Source organism: Homo sapiens, chromosome 10 (assembly GCF_000001405.40).
Source record: "Homo sapiens chromosome 10, GRCh38.p14 Primary Assembly".
Classification (NCBI taxonomy): Eukaryota; Metazoa; Chordata; class Mammalia; order Primates; family Hominidae; genus Homo; species Homo sapiens.
The window spans coordinates 4,364,316-4,384,213 of NC_000010.11; the positions used below are offsets into that span (position 1 = coordinate 4,364,316).

A 19,898-nucleotide genomic window follows, 5' to 3' on the forward strand; every position below is an offset into this window, starting at 1 on the left:
ATATAGCTTGAAAACAGTGATCACAGTTAAAGTAACTTAAGGTTCTCGTCTTATTCGAGAGTGTGGTAATAATTGTGCTTAGGTTTGGATTTCATTAAGTAAAATGACACGTTAAAATTTCTGTGGTGCCCTTACACAAATAGAATTTATAACTTTTAAAATATTAGAGGAAAAAATGGAACCAGGTTGAGAAAGGAACTCAACCGATTCATATAATGGCTGGATAAAGAAAAGCAAAATGTAGAAAAAGCTGTCAGGAGATGGCAGAAATACATCTAAACATACAGTAACCACAATAAAGAGGAAAGAATGGACTCATTCAGTTAAAAACAAAGATTATCAAGCTGGATTAAAAATTTCCAGCCATATGCTCTTTAACAATAGACACATCTAAAATAAATTAGAAAAAACTGCATCTTGCAGAACACAAAAACAATGTAGTTAGGAAGTAATAAGAATAAAATAAGCAAACAATTGGACATTAAAAATTGTTCTTACAAAATGCTATCTCAAGAAAAAAATAAAAGCATGGATAATCCAGGATCATTAAAAAATTATCTCAGTCATTCACAATATTTGCACTAAAAAAAAAAATCTCAGGGAGTTTTGCAAAGTCTACCCAACATATAGTAAATATAATTTCTCTTACAGAACTCTTTCGAGAAGATGTAAAGAAAGAAAATATTTTAAAAATATTTTATAGACAAATTTTGCTTTGCTATCACAAACAGAAGAAATAAATATAAGGAAGGGAAATGGATGTCTAATCTCACAAATGTATCAAAAACGATGCAGGATCACTCCAGCAAGTTTTTTGGTGTAAAAATGATCAATGTAATTTACAATGTCCATAAACTGACAAAAATAAGTGAAATGATCATCTTATTAATGCAGAAAAATATCGGATAGAATTGAACACATGTTAAAAATATTTACAAATTGAGAATGGAAGAGAGCTTCTTTAATCCAATGAATACTGTTTACAAAACAAAATTTATAGCAATCCTCATGCTTGATGGTGAAAATGTAAATGTTTCCTTTAAATCAGGAGCAAGACAAGGGTGTTTGCTTTTCTATGCAACATTTTCCTGGATGTCTTAACTAGTATAAGATTGTTATAAGAAATCAAAATTATAAGGTTTAAAAAGGAAAATACAAATAGATCATTACTTGTGGATAAAATGATAGTTTTATCCTAAAATGAAAACATAGAATTAGAATTAGTAAATCACAGACAGTGTTTTAAGTCATAGAAATGAAAAATTAACAGTGTTGGCAACAAAAAATACAAAATAAAAATTTTAAGAATATATTTTTAGTAAAGTCTAAATATATTAAATATTTAAAAGTAAATTATTTTTAAAAAGTGTGAGGTATTTATGGAGGATACTATAAAATTATTTTAAACAAAAAATAATCCTTGAAAATACCCAGTCTATGGATAAGTTTGTCCTGGACTTATATAAATTTAATTCTGTATAAACTTCAGTTATTTCCAAATTGTCCCATAAAGTCAATGTAATTTCGACTAAAATTCTAGCTGTTTAAAAATGAATTTTATGATCTGTTTATCAATTTGTGCGGGAAACAAAGGTGAAAGTAGCCTTGAAGAAGAATCAGGTTGGGGTATCGGAGGGGGTACTTCATCAAATCAGGTATGGAGAATTGTAAGAAAGCTGTCAATATTAGAAAAATGAAAGGATGAAAGGATAGAAAAATACACCATTATAAAAAACAGAGAGGCCAGAAATAGACCAATGCATAAAGGGAGGCCTGGGCCTGTTGGCCGTGAAGATCACCAGGCAAACATGAGCTACTCAACCATAGCTGGTGATTGCTTACCTGAATGTGGAGAGTATTAGACATCTATTTTACACCTTGCCAAAAAAATCAATTCTAGATATACTAAAGACATGACTATGAAGAACACGTTTTTACACTTTTGGAAAACAAAAACAGAACAAGCTAGTAGAAAAGGATGCAGAAAGCCAGAAGAGAAATTTTATAGAAAAACAAAAATGGGTTAAAAAACCCATGGACCTCTTACTAAGAGTCTTGGGATAATTAATAGTCAATGAAATTCAAATATAATGCCCCCAAAATACAATAATATTACAAGCTCTAGCTTGGGACTTAAAAAAAATCAAGCAATACCAAGTCTTCCTCACTGGTGGCTATTGTTGTTTAGTTTTTTATGGAGAAGGGGTCTATGTTGCTCAAGCTGGTCTCAAACTCCTGGACTTAAGCAAACCTCCCACCTTGGTCTCCCAAAGTGCTGGGATTACAGGCATGAGCCACCATGCCCAGCCTCTAATATATTTTGAGGATGAGAACTTAGGCCAATTTTAAGCAACAAAGACCAATTAGGAAAACAGCCTGTACATGTATAAATGGCAGAGGGCTGCATACCTAAAAAATGTGTATTGTGTGTCTGTGTGCCCTAACTCGGAAACTCATCCTACAGTCTCCTGCTAAATCCTCTGCTCATTCAGATATCTCGTTAACAAGATGGGCATGTGTATTATTATACCATGGGCTCTGTGTCATCCAGACATCTTAAAGGGAGCTGCATGTGAACATCTTCAGCTCTTTGCCGGAAATACATCAAATACGGATTATAAACTCGTCACCCACTGGGGCAAGGCTAGCTCTCCCTGCAGCTTTCAGAAGGCACTGAGGCTTTATGGATCATATTAATCCACAGAATTAGAGATGAATTAGAAACCATAATAAATTATGATGTAAAAAATAAATCACTTTTAAAATAAAATTTAACAATTTCTGTGTGTGTGTGTGTTTTCAACCTCCTCCATGTACCTCAAACCACCTTAATCTTATCCCTAATGAGAGTTACATTTTGATGTCATATGGAGAACAGACCTTCGAGGTTAAAGGTCTAAAATAGATGTCTAATACTCTCCACGTTCAGGTAAGCAATCACCAACTATTGTTTGAGGTTACACTGCCTGGGCTTTTCAGAACTAGTGCGGTCTTTTGAAAATAAAACAAACTGAATGCAGTTTTAGCTATGCAATACGAAGTGGATAAAATCTTTAATAATTTGGGAACAAGATTATTCTAGAAACTTACTGAAAATATTTTACAAGTTCAATTTTTAAACTTGTGCATGATAGGTTACTCAGATGCAAGAAAGATTCACAAACTGTGAATAAAGAGAACACTATTTCATGTACTGCTATTTAATAACAGCATGAATATTTTTATATAACTTGTGCTTTTTTAAAAAATAGACTTTATTTTTAGAGAAGTTTGAGGTTCATGGCAAAATTGAGCAGAAGGTAAAGAGAGTTTTTCTATGCCCCTTGACCCTGAATACATATATAACCTCTTCCACTATCAAAATCCTGAACCAGAGTAGTACATTTGTTGCAATCAGTGACTTTACATTGACCTGCCATTGCCGCCCAAGGACTATGGCTTACATGAGGGTGCACTGTTGGTGTTATACATTCTATGGGTTTTAACAAATGTATAATGACTTTTTACCATCATTGCAGTACCATACAGAGTATTTTTCACTGCCCTAAAACTCCTCTGTGGCTCTCCTATTCATGCTTTTCTTCCCCCAACCCTTTGAACCACTTACGTTTTACTGTCTTCAAGTTTTGCCTTCCCCAGAATGTCATATAGTCAGAATCATAAATTATGTAGCCTTTCCAGTTGAGCTTTTTCTGTCACTTAGTCATATGCATTTAAGTCTTCTCCATGTATTTTCATGGTTTGATAGCTAATTTATATTTAGTGCTAAATACTATTCTATTGTCTGGATGTAGCAAGGTTTATTCGCCTACTGAAGAACAGCTGGGTGTTTCCAAGTTCTAGCAATTACGAAAAAAAAAACTGCTATAAGCATTCATGTTCAAGGTTTTGTGGGAACTTAAGTTTTTAACTTATTTGGGTAAATACCAAGGAGTGCAATTGCTGGATCATATACTAAGAGTATGTTTAGTTTTGTAAGAAACTGCCAAACTGTCTTCCACAGTGACTGCAACATTTTGCATTCCCACCTGCAATGGATGAGTTCCTGTTGCTCCACATCCTCACCAGCATTTGGTGTTGTCAGTGTTCCGGACTTTGCCATTTTAATAGGTGTGTAGTGGTATCTCATAGTTGTTTTGATTTGTAGTTTCCTAGTTACGTATAATGGTAGTATATTTTCATGATTTTATCTGCCATCTGTATATTTTGATGAGGTAGCTGTTACTACTTTCTTAACCACTAATGATGCTGAAACATTCATGTTTCCTTTCTACAAGCAATAATTCTTTACCACTTTACTGAAAGTCATGGATACAAGTTAAAAAAAAAACCTAGTCCTCCACTCTAATAAACTATGTGCTAAAATTACAAAATTAATTGTGACTCTTAAAATGTTTATTTGATTCTCAAACTATCCCACCCAAAATGTGTCTACAAAGACAAGCATCTTCACACAATGACATCTTCTTTACTTGACATTTTAATACTCATGGCACTGATGGTGAAATGTAGGTTATAATTTAACATCAATTTGACCATTCAAGAAAGAGATTCGTTACCATTCTCTAAAGCAAGGTGCCCAATCACTTTCAAACTTTTCTTTGTTTTTCAATCTAAATATTTCTTAACTCCACCATCCTCCTTCATTTCTACTGCCTTTGTCTTAATTAGACTTGGCTATATATTTTTCTAGAATGCTTCACTCCCTCCAAGGATATACATTCTAATATGAAATATTCATCATAATTGGGCTTATAGTCTCCTACCCAAGCATTGACAGCCAACTTTTATTTTAAGAATAGGTAATTTTTTCTGTATGTTTCAGATACAGCTTTGTCTTATTTAGCATCTATTCACGCTCTGACCAATCAATGGGCTTCTGTTTTATTCTAGACATCCATCCCCCATCTTGTATTCCATTTGACACTGTCTGGTTCCCTGAATGAAAGTCCTTATGTCAGAAACTTGGCTAAAACTGCAGGAACCATAGGACTATGGCTCTGTATCAATTTTGTCAGTTCTCCCTTTCAGAAAGAAGAGTCCTACAAATTATTGCTGATGTGCACTAATGGTAAGAGCTCAGAGAAAGACATCCCAGACACTAAGTTCCATTCTCCTTGCTCCAATTAGTCCGAAGCTTGCCCAGACCACCATTCATCATTTAGTCCACTCTCCAGAAAAATATTCCTCACGGAATGCTGCATTCATCCTTTTGCCAGCGCTAACATGGAGCCTGTTCCAAGGATCCCGGTGCCCTTTCAGGGAGCAAGTGCACTTTCTGCTGCTGATGGACATTCACTCCTCAGGAGAACTGCAGTGCTACCCCAAGATATTACAGGGCCGTTGACAGAAATGCAAATAATCCAAGGAAAAGCTGTTTTGGAACAGAAGGTGACTCATTCAGTACTAGGCATTTTGGGTTTGATATATCATGAATATTTCATCTTAACACCTATGAAAATATACCGTTATCCAAGTGTCCAAGAACTCAAAAATCTTTTTACGTGATAACATCATGTGCCTGAGAGAAACTGAAATAATTCTGTTTATTTTTCTGTGTCAGTTTCCTTGGCGGTTGCATTTGTGGGAGCATACAGAATATGTTTTCCCCACCTTAAAATATTTATTTTAAGTTTTGCAAATTTCAGAACTGTCTGATTCAGTTAGATAATCTAAGCCGGAGAGTAACTGAGCAATAAATACTACAGTTTACTAGCTTATGCTGTGGTTCTACTCATCAGAAATGGTGCTGGTGATTAACTTTAAAGCATTCAGTGGTCTGAGACCTGGCTACCTTAAACAAAATATCTAGATGAATGATTTCAGTTTTTCTTTTATTTCATACAAAAATATTGCATTTGGTTGAGCTAATAAATATTAAACAATTGATTTTTTAAAAAATATATTATTTATAAAATCGCCAGGATACAAAATAATGGATTGCACTTCCAGTGTTTCCTCTTTCTGCCCTCTATCCGCTGCCAACAAAAGAGAAGTGGGTAAGTGACTGGGTTAAAACAATTCAAAGAGTTTTCACAAAAAGCACAGTGAGCAATAACTAGAGGTAAAAGATTATTACCGTCAGGAATCTTCTGGAATAGAGTAGTGGTTTTTTAATCCCCCCAGATGAGTGAAAAAGTAGATCTGGCCTCTTCTCTGAGTCAAGTGAATATCAAAGGGAAGGCAGGCAACTGGAACTAATTCTGCAACACTCAGAGTTGGGAACAGAATCTGAGATCAAGTTCACTCAGTCATAACTCTGCAGAGGGGATGAAATGAAATACAACTCAAAGGTAGCCAGGTCCCAGACCACTGAAGGCTTTAAAGTTAATTACCAGCACCTTTTATGATGAGTAGAACCACAGCATAAGCTACTAAACTGTAGTATTTATTGCTCAGTTACTCTCCTGCATAGATTATGTAATTGAATAAGACTGTTTTGAAATTTGCAAGCTAATAAAAATGTATATTTATATCTACACCTTTGCCCAGAAGAAAGATTTGAAGAAATATATCCCTGCAGATTAGAGTCAATTTTTCTATATCTATCTTTGTATTCTCTTCAATATGTAAGAGCTATTTAGCAAGAGAGAAAATGTGTTATATGTGAATAAAAACAAAACCACACAAAAGAAACAAAAAGGAGAAATCTCTAAGATAGCAAAAAATAAACATCGAAAGAAGGAAGTTAAAACATTAGCAATACAATGTTGCCTGCATAATATAAATGATATAAATATAATTTTTAATATAGTATATTGAAGATGAAATTTTAGTTGCTGGCAAGTTTTACAGGAAGAAATACTTAAAATTTGCATGACAGAATACTAATTCTAGTCTCAAATCATTAATGCTCCCACAGCACTAGAGTTAAAAAGAAAACAAAATGAACCAAAAAATAATTAAAAATGTTTTTCTTGAAGGAGCTTATATTTTTATAACCTTATATACTTTATGATATGAATCCTGAAATTCTAATTTGAGTACAGTGTTGTCATTATTTTGAAAGCTGTTTGGTAAGTAAAGCTCCTCTCACCCCCAAATCATGGTAATTGTTTTGATAAAATCAATTTTTTCACAGAATACACACATTATTTTTAATACACACACACACGCTCACACACACAAACTGTGGTATTAAATGCAACTTTAGAATTTTGGAATATGTTATCGTTTTATGCAGGTTTTGTGAACCTTTCCTAGAGGCTGTTCTTGTTTTTGCAGAAAGTCAATCTTGTAGTGATTATAACTGCAGGTCAGAACTAGGATTTCATGGGGATAATGTAACGTTAACTGTACGGCATAAGGTACACAATTCTGCATTCAATATGTTGTTATTTTATGTTACTACCAAACTGACTAAGATTAAAAGGACACACAGTAACCAATGTCAGTGAGCACAAGAAACAATTGGAGAGCCCATAAATTAGCAGCATCAACTAGAAGCCAACATATGCACACCGTCATCTTCAGTAATCTCATCTCCAGGTATGTACCCTGTAGACGTGCGTGCCTATGACTGCCAAAATACATAACATTTAAAGCAGCACTGTTCATAATAGTCCCACAGTAGAAATAATCTAAATATCCATGACCAGTAGAAGAATAAATAAACTGCTGTGAAATATACCACAGTGGGGGACAAGAACAGACTGCTGTTACGTGCAACTGAATGAGCCTCACTAACTTAATCTTGGGATAATACAGCCAGACACAAAAGCACACATTTCAGTTATTTGAAATTCCAAAACAGGAAGCTCTTCTATTGTCTTGAGGTCAGAAAAGCAGTCACCTGAGTTGAGGGTCTTCATTAGCTGGGAGGTGGTATGAGGAAGGCTGGAGGTGTCTTGTGTCATGATGTGGGTCACAGATTAAATGTCCACAAAAGTTCATCAAGTGTGACTTTATGATTCATGTCCTACATGTAGGTGTACCTCAGTTAAATGCATACATATATGAATAAAATCAATGCTTCAAGGAACTAAAGCACAATAAAAGTAGAGGTTAGTTTTGTGTGATAGAACTGTGATTGGGTTTTATTTCCTTCTCCGCACTTTTTTTCCTCTCTACATTTAATTGAATGCACACTTTTATAAGAAAAAAAGTCAATATTTATATAACACATAAGTAACTATAATGACAGAAATAAAGGCAAGGATAACACTTACATTTTATATATGTTATAAAATTGATTGGTCCAGTTCAAAGTTTAGTCAATTTTGCTCATTTTGTACTTACTGTTCTTAGGTTTTATTTTATAAGAAGTGTGTTCAAAATGAGTGGCTTACTATTTAGTCCGTAGGATAAAATCGTTTTTTTCTAGTGCAATATGTTATCCTTTTGTTAGGGGTGTTTTCTATTCAGAACGCATTCATAAAGACTGTCCAAAGATTTAACTCTTGTGGCTTAGGGGAGAGATGTAGTCACTGAAGATGAGAAGGACTGTTTTGTTGCTCTGTACGTCACTGTGGTCTGTTGAAATTGAAAACATCTGTGCAAAGGAAATGACCCTCTAATTAGAACAATGTGTACGGCATAGCAACTGAGGTTGGGAGGCTGATTGAATAGCGCTTGAATAAAGCTCTTAGCCTTTCAGGTTAGGTTTTGTGTTTATAGGCTGATGTTGGGTACACATCTGTTTCCACCTCCTGTACATTTCTTGGGTTCAGAACAATTGAGTTTCCACTGCAGACATGCCTCCTGAAAAATACTTTTGGCTTAGTCTGTCATGTTGTTGGTATTTTTTAATGGAAATTTTTTCCTGAGATCATTATAGATTCACCTGCAGTTGTAAGAAATACCTTCTCCATTGTTAACATTTTACAAAATGATGGTGCAATATTACAACTAGGATATCGACATTGATAGACTCTATCCATCTTATTCAGAATATCCAAGCTTAACTTGAACTCATTTGCATGTGTGGGGTGTGTGTTTAGTTCTATATGATCTTATCACATTGTAGATTTTGTCATCCGCCACCACAGTCCAGATGCCGAATGGTTCCATCAACACAACCATCCTCATATTGCCTTTTAGCCACACCCTCCTGTATCTTCCCATGGATTCCAACCCCTTAGCAACCACTAGTCTCTTCTTCATTTCTAAAATTTTGTCATTTCAAAGGTGTTACAATAATATAGGGTGTAACATTTTGGAATTGGCTTTTTCCACTTATTCCGCATAATTCCCCAGAGACATATCCAGGTTGTTGCTTTGCACTGCTCAGCGGTATCCCATAGTGTGTATGTGGGAGTTTATTCATGTCTTCAACTACATCTGAGAGGTTTCCAGTTTATGGCTATTATAAATAAAGTTTCTGGGTACATATGTATGCTGTTTTATCTGTGAAAATAAGTTTTCATTTGTCTGGGGTATCTACCCAAGAGTAAATTTACTGGGTCCTATAGTAATTGCTTGTTAGTTTTATAAAAAAAAATTGCAAAACAATTTCAGAGTGGTTGGGCCACTTCACAGGGCTGACCATAATGCACGAGTGATTCAGTTTCTGCACTTCCTCATCAGCATTTGGTATTGTCATTATTTTTAATTTTAGCTAGTCTAATAGATGTGTAATTGTATCTCATGTGGTCTTAACTGGCATTTTTCTAATGGCTAGTGATGTTGAAAATCTTTCCATGTGTTTATTTGCCATATGTATGTCTTTGTTACTGGAATTTCTCTTCCCGTCTTTGCCCATTTTCAAACTGGATTCTTCATTACTATTGAATTTTGAGAGTTCTTTATATATTCTACTTACTAGCCTTTGCCCTTTGCTAGCTATGTGGTTTGAAAATACTTTCTCTAGGCTGTAGCTTGTCTTCTCATTCTCTTCACATGGACTTTCACAGACAAAAAAAAAGTTTTTAATCGTGTTGAACTCCAAGTTATCAATTTTTTCCTTATGGTTCATGCTTTTGCTTTCAGTTATAATAACTCTTTGCCTAGTTTTTGCTCCTGAAAATTGTCCTCTATCTGTATGTATTTTTCTGAAAGTTTTATGGTTTTATACTAATGTATGCAATACATTTTAAGTTATTTTTTTTAAGATGTGAAGTTCAGGTTGAGGTTCATTACTTTTGGCTTATGGATGTCCAGTTGTTCCAGCATCATCTATTGAAAATGCTATCATTCTACCACTGAATAGCTTTTGCACTTTTTCTAAAAATCATTTGATCACATTCGTGTGGGGATATTTGGGTTCTCTATTCTATTCCTTCCCAACTTATGGGAAGCAAAGACCTATAGGTCTTTGCTTTGCTTTGTCAAAACCACACTGTATGGATTATTGTAGCTTCATAATAAACCTTAATATAAGATAGAGTGATTCTTCTTACATTATTCTTTTTTTTGTAAGGTTGCTTTAGTTATTCCAGGACCTGTGCCTTTCCATACAAATTTTAGAATAAACTTGTTTATGTCTACCAAAAACCCTGGTGAGATTCGGAAGGAATTGCACTGAACCTGTAGATCAATTTAGGAAAAAATGGCATCTTTACTGTTGACTTTTGAAGCCCATGAACATGATATTTCTTCCATTTATTTATGTCTCCTTTTATTTCTTTCATCAGCTTTTGGTAATGTTCAGTCTGTAGAGTCAGTATATGTTTTGTTAAGTATTTTATTTCCTTTGGAGTGATTGTAAATGATACTCTGTTTTTAATTGTTATATTCTCATGTTTACTACTAATATAAAGAAATGTTGCTGATTTACTTGTGTTGACCTTGTATCTTGAAACTTTACCAAACTCAATTAGTCTAGGATTTTTCTTTTGGTAGATACCTTGGGATTTTCCATATAGAAATCATAGCATCTGAAAATTGGAAGTGTTTGATATCTTCCTTTTCAATTTGTTTTTTTTCTTTGTCTTATTTTATTATTTACTTGTTTCAGTGCCATACATCCCCATTACTGTGTCAGGTAAGAGTCATGAGAAGACATTCTTGCTTTGTACCCAGTTCTAGGGGGAAACATTCAGCCTTTCATCATTAGTATAATGTTATCTGTAAACTTTTTGTTGTTGTTTTTTGTTTTGTAAATGTTCATTATCAAGTTGAAGAAATCCCTCTGTATTCCCTAATATGCTGAGAGTTTGATCAAGAAGAGGTGTAGAATTATAGTAATTTTTACTGAATCAATTGATATGATCATCTGATTTTCTTCTTCTTCCTGTTGATATGATAAATTGCATTGTAGAATCTTGAATAAGCCTTGTACACCTGGAATAAATCACATTTGATTATAATATATAATATTTTCTATACACTGTTGGATTTAATTTCTCACTAATTGGTGAACATTTTTGACTCAAAGTTCATAAAAATTGTTGGTCTGTAATTTTATTTTTTTTTACCACATCTTGTTTTGACATAAAAACTTATTAGCTTTATAAAGTAGGTTAGTAATTAATCTCTTTTTAATTTCTCTAGAAAAATATGTACAACTGGTATTAATCACTCTTCAAATATTAGATAGAATGAAAGAATATGTGCTTGGAAATTTCTTTCTTGAGAGCATATACATTTTAAATTCAATTTCCTTGATAGTCCCAGGCCAATTCAGATTGTCTACATCAGTGTGATTGTTTTAGTAGCTTTGGTTTTAAAGAATTGGTACATTTCTTTTAAGCTGCTGAATTTCTGAGCAGAAACTTGCTTGTAGTATTCACTTATTATCCTTTTAATGGCTGTTAGATCTGCCATGATAGCCCATATTGTATTCCTAATATTGGTGATTTGTGCTCTCTTTCTTTTTATTTCTTTAGTGTTTATAAAGGCTTTATTCAGCTCTTTATATTTTTATTTCCTTTGAGACTTCCTCCTTGACCTATGATTATTTATAAATGTGTTTTTAAAATTTTCATGCCTCTAGAGATTTTCCTGTTGTATTCCATTTAATGACTTCTGGTTTCATTCTGTTATGGTCAGAGTATATATTCTGTATGACTTCAATTATTTAAATAGGTGAAGATTTCTGTATGGCCTAGGTTATAGTCTATTTTGGCTAATGCTCCATAAGCCCTTAAAAAAGTGTATATTCTGCTGTTGTTTTTTGGATGTTCAATACACTTCAATTAGACACAGTTGGTTGTTGGTGGTGTAGAGTTTGTCCGTATCAATGCTGATTTCTTCTCTAGAAGTTCTGTCAGTTACTTACATAGAGGTTTTTACATCCCAACTATGATTGTGGAATTGTCTATTTCCTGCTTCAGCTCTATCAGGCTTTGATTCATATATTTTGTGGTTCTACTGTTTGGTGTGCACACATTTGGAATTCCTATGTCTTCACTGTGGACTGATTATTTTATAGTTATGTAACATCTCTCTTTGCATCTAGTGATTTTCCTTGCTTTGAAGTCTATTTTTCACATACTAATATAGTAAATTCTATTCTGTAATGATTAACATTTACATGAGATATCTTCTCCTATTCTTTACTTTCAACCTCCTTATGTCATTAAATTTGAAGTGAGTTTCATATGCACAGAAAAATGACTAGAAGGATTTTAATGTAAAGAGTTGGTCATTCACCTCATAAATGATTGAATTAATAAGAGGACACCAAAGCATTGAAATAAATAGAAAGGAATGAATCCATGATAATAACAATGACTGAGAACTCAGTAGATCTCTGTGGGAGGAGGTTTCTCAGACCTAGTGAGGAAGGCGTGTTTTTTCCCTATCCACTTACTATTAGAAAGGCTCTTAATCAATCCTTTTTGCCTGTTATGCCAGCTCCCCCGCTGTTGCAGGACAAGCTCCCTTTAGATCCTGGCAAGGAATGAGCCCACCTGGGTTACCTTTCATTGCTAGGTTAGGGTCAAAAACATCCAGGCTGGTTCCTCTTGTTCTACTGGGAGGAGGGGAGATGAAATATCTTCCTACCGTATTGGTCCATCAATCCTGGGGTCCTACATCAATTTGCCTCCCTCTTGCCACCTCCCAAATGTCGCCTGTGGTTGCCTGTTGAATAATTTTCAGGAATTATAACTGCACTTAGTTGGGAGGAAAAGGGGATAGAGGAAGACAGGGGAGTCTGTATTATCTGGTCCAGACTGGAATTCCTAGTTGTTTGTTTTTAAATGACAACTGATACTGTTCATAGTTTGACACAAATTAAATATCCGATTGACATAATTTCGTATGATACCAGAAAAATGTCGAAGGATTATGGTCTTAGCACTTAATGTGCATCACAAATGAACAACAATGCTTATTTTCAAAATCCCCAAATCTTGACTTTTAAAGCTTTTTTTCCTATTCTACACAGCAAAACTACACACTTATTTTTTCTCTTATTTGAGTTCTGTGTTTGATAACATGTAACATGCAAAACAGATAGAAATGGGGTTACTTTGCCACAGTGGATCCTTTTCCATGTCCTCCTTCATGTATTACGTACAATACTAGCCCCATGGAAATAATAATCCCCCGCAGCAGTGGTTCCCACAGTTTTCCTCCTGAATCAGCAACGTGAGTATCACCTGAGAATTTGTTAGAAATTCGTATTCTTACGTCCTATTCCAGATTTTCTGAATAAGGAATTCTGAGATGCACGGTCCTGCCATGATGCATGGCCTCTTCCCCCGCCTTTTTTTTTGTTTAGACGGAGTCTCACTCTGTCACCCAGGCTGGAGTGCAGTGGCGCGATCTGGGCTCACTGCAAGCTCCGCCTCCCGGGTCACTCCATTCTCCTGCCTCAGCCTTCCGAGTAGCTGGGACTACAGGCGCCCGCCACCACGCCCGGCTACTTTTTTGTATTTTTAGTAGAGACAGGGTTTCACCGTGTTAGCCAGGATGGTCACCATCTTCTGACCTTGTGATCCGCCCGCCTCGGCCTCCCAAAGTGCTGGGATTACAGGCGTGAGCCACCGCGCCCGGCCCATCCCCCTTTTTTTAAAGACTCAAATGACAGGGGCCAGATTACAGTAGATTCAACTTGACTGGAAAGAGAGGAAATAGAAATAATGAGAATAAACAACTAATAACACTCTTCTTCCTTAGTACCTGATTTGTATTCACACAGAATGACTTTCATTGGTGCATATCAACATACTCATCTATGTGATGAAACTTAAAGTGGTTTTATTTTTTCTACTTATACAGATCTTTACATATTATGAATAAGCATGTACTACATTTCACCAAGGCAAAGAAACAGGAAAAATGCTCTCTTGAGTAATTAGTTTCCAAAAGTTAGATTGACTACATTATCTGTAAAGTAATTGACTGTAATATTCCAGCTATGTATTTTTTACCTTATGGTACTCATTCAACTCTAATTCAGGAGGGTAATGTTCCAACAAGCTGCAACCTCCCCCTTATTATTTACAAGAAACCATAGTTCCTATTTTAGAAAGGCTATTTTTTTCTTTACTGACCCGATATATAATTTAATCAATCAATCAGATCTCCCTTTTATGCCAGCTGCTGTGAAGCATTAAGCAAATTACAGTTGATTGTTGAACAATATAGGTTTAAACTGTACAGGTCACTGAAAGAATTTTCTTCCACCTCTGCCACACCTGAGGCAGCATGACCAACCCCTCCTCTTCCTCCTCCTCCTCAGCCTGCTCAATGAGAGGATGGTGAGGATGAAGCCCTTTGTGATGACCCACTTCCATTTAATGAATTGTAAATATGGTTTTTCCTCCTCATTACTGTCTTAATAACCTTTTTTTCCTCTAGCTTACTTTATTGTAAGAATGTAGTATATATACATAAATATCTGTGAATTGACTATTGATGTTATCAGTAAGGCTTCTGGCCAAGAGCAGGCTACTGTGTTTTTGAGGAATCACAACTTTCACGTGGATTTCTGACTGCGACGTTGCTCAGGGCTCCTGTCCCCACATTGTTCAAGGGTTAGCTGTGATTAATATCTATAATATTATAAAGCACCATGTACCACAGTGGGTCAGAAAACTAATCCTGGGGCATAATTCTTAGGTATTACTCAAGAGAACAATTCTCTGAAGTGTAATGAGTTTGGGAAATTGCAGATTAAATGTAATTGAACGTCAACTTTGGTCTTTCCGTCATTTTATTTTTACTGCTGCGGGAGGTTTCGGCACCTTTAAAGGCTTCTCTAAGCATACAAACTGAAATATTTCCCAGGTTTACCTGTCTCAGAAAGTGCACTCCTGTGTGAGTGTGTTTGGGGTATAGTGTGGTGTGTGTGCATGTATGTGTGTGTGCATAGCGTGTGTACGAGATACTCTTGCAGAAGCAGTACCTCACGGAACATACTCTGCAAACTGAGAAATGCTGCTTGATGGTGCCTTGGTTTATGCCTTTTCCTGAATTTTAAATTCCATGATTTCTTTTTATAAAATTAAAACAAAATTAACATAATAGAGATGGGGACTTACTATGTTGCCCCGTCTGGTCTTGAACTCTTAAGCTCAAGTAATCTTCCTGCCTCAGCCTCCCAAAGTGCTAGGATTACAGGCATGAGCCACCATGCCAGGCTTAAATTCTCTCTCAGATGTTTCAAATGTACATTATTGTCTTTCCTCTGCTGTAAGACAGTATTTTTTTTTTAAATAAAGGAGAGTAAACAAACAACTTATTAAGTCATCATAGGTTAGCACAAATATTTTCTTATTAATTGTAAAGATTGTTGTAAGTATAAGGCTCCCCAGAATGACATTTTGTTTTGGATTATTTTAACCTGCATGCCAAAATTAAATTATAATGTCTTAATTACAAGATGTGTCAAAAAGCAAAATTTTCCAATTAACTAGAAAATACTGGTCACCTGACTTCCCAGAAATGTGCAATTCAAAGATTTCCTGATCATTTTACATTTATGACAACCTTAGTTATTTAAGGAAATAAATTAATAAGCATTAACATATTGTAAGTTTTAGTTCATGTTTTATCCATTTAAATTAAGTCTGTAATATTGGCTAATCAAATGATTGAATTAATAAGAGGACACCAAAGCATTAAAATAAATGGGAAGGAATAGATCCAGGATTGTAACAATGCCTGAATACCAATAACACTATTCTTTCTTAGCCATTTATTTTTTTTAGCCATTTATTTTCTATATATGTATATGTATTATATTATATATATATTCTATATATATACACACACACGCACATACATGCATGCATAATATATAAGTGGAGCTCAACACTCTGTGTCTGAAAAATATTTGAAATACTTTTCAAACACTCTGGATTAGACAAAGAAAATAAGTTCCATCAAATATATTTTCCTTGAATTTTGCACCCCTTGTATTTAGAGGAAAACTTAGTCCATGTGTTTCTGATTATTTAACATTTAACCCATCAAAACATTTGTTTTGAAAATAATACTTATGTCCAAAACTTTCTGAGTCTTTATAATGAGTTCTCCTTTCAAGAATTTGGCATAAATTGAGGAGATTTTAAAAAAGTGGTTTAAGGTATAGTAGTTCTTTCAAACCAATAACTTTTAATAATGAACTATTCTGGATAAATATTTCTCCAATATATATTTGTAATTCTAAATTATAATCTATGTTAAGATAAAATATATATGTATTTTTGTTACCTGAAGATAATCTTTCTATTTATTGTATCTAAGAATATACTTTTAAAAATACTTACAGAACTTAATATCAGATAGAACTATAAGCAAAATTATACTTTAAAGGAAGAAAGAAATGCAGAAGAAAATAGTGGAAGTCATATGTAAAAATATATACAAGATTTTTAGTGCAGAGATATATTATTAATAAATCCAAGATAGTTCTTAACAGAAGTGGTGTTTCTTAATACTTCTTATAATCAGATTGGTTTAACCTTTATTTATAACTAAAATTATAAGATAAAAAATTGATTTTTAAGTGTTTTTAACGTAAAATAACCATACATTAATATTTTATATGCTAGAAGATATAGTTGCTTAATATTATCTAAGCAATGTTGCAGGCAAATGAATTGTACTGGACTTAGGAAATTTAGAGATGTTAATATGAGTGCAAAACCATTTATTACTAGGCACTAATTAATTCAAAGAAAATTAGGATTTGTTAAAATAGAGATCATTAATAGTCTGATATAATATATATTATGTGTTTAATATATAATTAATTATATCTTTAGATGTACTTCTATGTATTTTTAAATTGACCTTTTTCTTTTACCTCATCATTTATCTATGTTTTATGGGAATTATCTCGATCTATGTTGATGTCTATATCCACATCTATCAATCATTTATCAACATTCATATAATCTAGATATATGATCACTTTAAATGGTTTCATAATATTCTATAATGTATGGGTATATCAAAATTGTTTCACTATTTCTTCCTTTAAAAAATATATCATGCTTTAATCCACTACCCTATAAAGAATGTTTAGAACTTTTGCGATGTACAATATGAAAGTTTTTGCAAATTCCATCTCTTTACACTTACAATGGTTCTAGGTGGGAAGACTGCACAAGACTCGCAGGCGATCTTAAATACGTTGTTCTGTATTTTTTTAAAATTGTTGTTGTTGTTGTTGTTCGTTTGTTTTTGAGATGAAGTCTTTCACTCTGTCTCCCAGGCTGGAGTGCAATGGCAAGATCTCAGCTCACTGCAACCTCTACCTTCTGGTTCAAGCTGTTCTCATGTCTCAGCCTCCCGAGTAGCTGAGATTACAGGTGCCACCATGCCCAGCTTTTGTGTGTGTGTGTGTGTGTGTGTGTGTGTGTATTTTTAGTAGAGATGGGGTTTCACCATGTTGGTCAGGCTGGTCTCGAGCTCCTGACCTCGGGCGATCCACCCACTTCAGCCTCTCAAAGGGCTGGGATTACAGGTGTGAGCCACCACGCCCGGCCTATTGATGTCTATTCTAAGTTCAATGGGACACCAATGGAGTCTTTGAAGCAAGCATTCAACATCAGATTTGTGTTGAGAAAAGACTACGATGATTGCAGAGTAGAGAATGGGTTGGAAAACGGTGCTGCTTGCAGAGAGACTCTGGAGAGACTGCTTAGAAAGATTTTTTTTTTAAAGATTTTAGCAAGAAATGTTTGTAGGCTGAATGATAATTTATTGATAGAGAGCAAGAGAAATAAATGCATTGGAGAAAAATTATACAATGAAATCATTGGGACTTGGTTTAGCAGAAGGTAAGTTTGACAAAAGAATGAGATTGAAATACAAGGCTGCAACTAATTATGAAGAAACCTATTACTCTAAGTACTTAAAAGGAGAATTTGAACAGAAATTTCTTTATTAAATCATTATTTTTCTTATTATGAGACTGATGATTAATGAAAATATTTGGTGCTTAAGACAGAGGCACTGGGTTAAGGATGTCTTAGTTTGAGTCGTAGATTCTCCATTTACACACCTTGTGACAAGTGATGTAACCTCTCTAAAAACTTCCAGAATTTTTATTTGTTTTGTTTTTGTTTGTAAAATGGGGCTACCAACCCCATGTGATTGCTGAGAATTAAATAATGAAAAATAGTGCTTAATATGACATGTGACACAAGTCAAAGAACTAAATAAATATTCATTATTACTGATAGGATTTTATCATTATCATTATTAATTGGGGACAATATTCTGACAAGAGTTCATTTTAAAACTACAAATAGAGGCAAGAATCACAGTTTCTATTGATTCAACTGCTATTACTGGGGTGGGGAATTCCCTCTCTTTAAACATGAACTTTCAATGTAAAAGGAGATCAGTGCTAATGTTTGGGAAGATCTGTTTATTTTTGACATTCCCTAGGGAGCTTTAGGAACTCTGGGCATCTCAGCCATGTATTTGTTTACCTTTGGTTTACCCAGGGAACAAAAAATCATGAAGAAATGCTGGACCAATTGTCATGGATTAATCGTTCATTAGTTACATAATTATTAGAGAAATAATCATAACACAGTAGATTTATTTCTAGAATAAATAAAAGAACATGCATTTTATATTAATTGATAGACAATATCATAGATAACACACATTAATATTCACTTCAGGTTTTATCCTGTTATTTCATTAATCTAGAAAACAAACTTTTTTTTGCTGGCTTAAAGTATCAGCTCAGTTTTTCTACTAATTTAAAATTGTACAATATCAGTACACGTATTATAATTGGTTGCCACAGGGTACAGATCACTATTTGTATGTGCAAAGTGGAAACTATAGCAAATACTAAATGCTAATATATGTGCTAAGTCTTAATTCATCATTTTATTTTGGAACAAAGGGAATCAAGGGAAATGTATTTGCCAATAAACTTTAATATATGTCTCCCTGGAGCAATGATTATAAGATTAAATTGCAGAGAAATACAATAGTATGTACACTAAGCGATTCAAAATATGTCATTCCCTACTAATTTGGTCAAAGCCAGGAATTTAGAAAAAGGAAAGATTAGTTTCTGTTGAATTTCATTTTATGCCTTATGTTAGAAATTTGTAAAACTGTCTCTTGCTGGCTCTCAGATTGTGAAATAACAATGAATGCAGCTCCAGGCAAGCTGCCTTTCAGGCAGACCTGTCAGGAGAGAGACAGACAGTTCAGGGTAATTCATTCTTGCCACCGAGTCTCAAGTGACTTGTGAAGGAATCTGGCATTTCTAAAATATAAATAGCATTAACTCACAGCAAGAAAGAGAAAGTGTTCTTCATGCTTACTGAGAGGCAAAAGATCAGCAGTGAGCAACGGAAAGCCATCATGGGGTTTAATGACAGGATTTTTAGAAAAGGGGAATTTCATAGTAACTAACTGTAAAGGACACACCTCACCAAGTCGACGGATTTCCTGAGGGTAATTGATTCCCAGTGTTTTACAAGTCCATGTTCTTCAGGATGATCTTAGTGTGCACAAAAATCATATGCAAATGAATTTTGGATCAAGATACAAAAATAAAATAAACCAGTGAAAATAAAATGAAGGGA

The 19,898-nt window shown here is 34.3% G+C and overlaps 1 long non-coding RNA gene across 1 annotated transcript; it reads right to left on the reverse strand.

Annotated features, from left to right (window-relative positions):
* Positions 1 to 4,868: 4,868 nt before the first annotated feature.
* On the reverse strand, positions 4,869 to 6,370 carry LOC105376371 (uncharacterized). The gene is made up of 2 exons (XR_930590.2): positions 6,080 to 6,370; positions 4,869 to 5,374 (listed from the first exon to the last, which is right to left on the reverse strand). It is a non-coding gene; the product is annotated as an uncharacterized LOC105376371 (long non-coding RNA).
* Between the last annotated feature and the right edge of the window lie 13,528 nt (positions 6,371 to 19,898).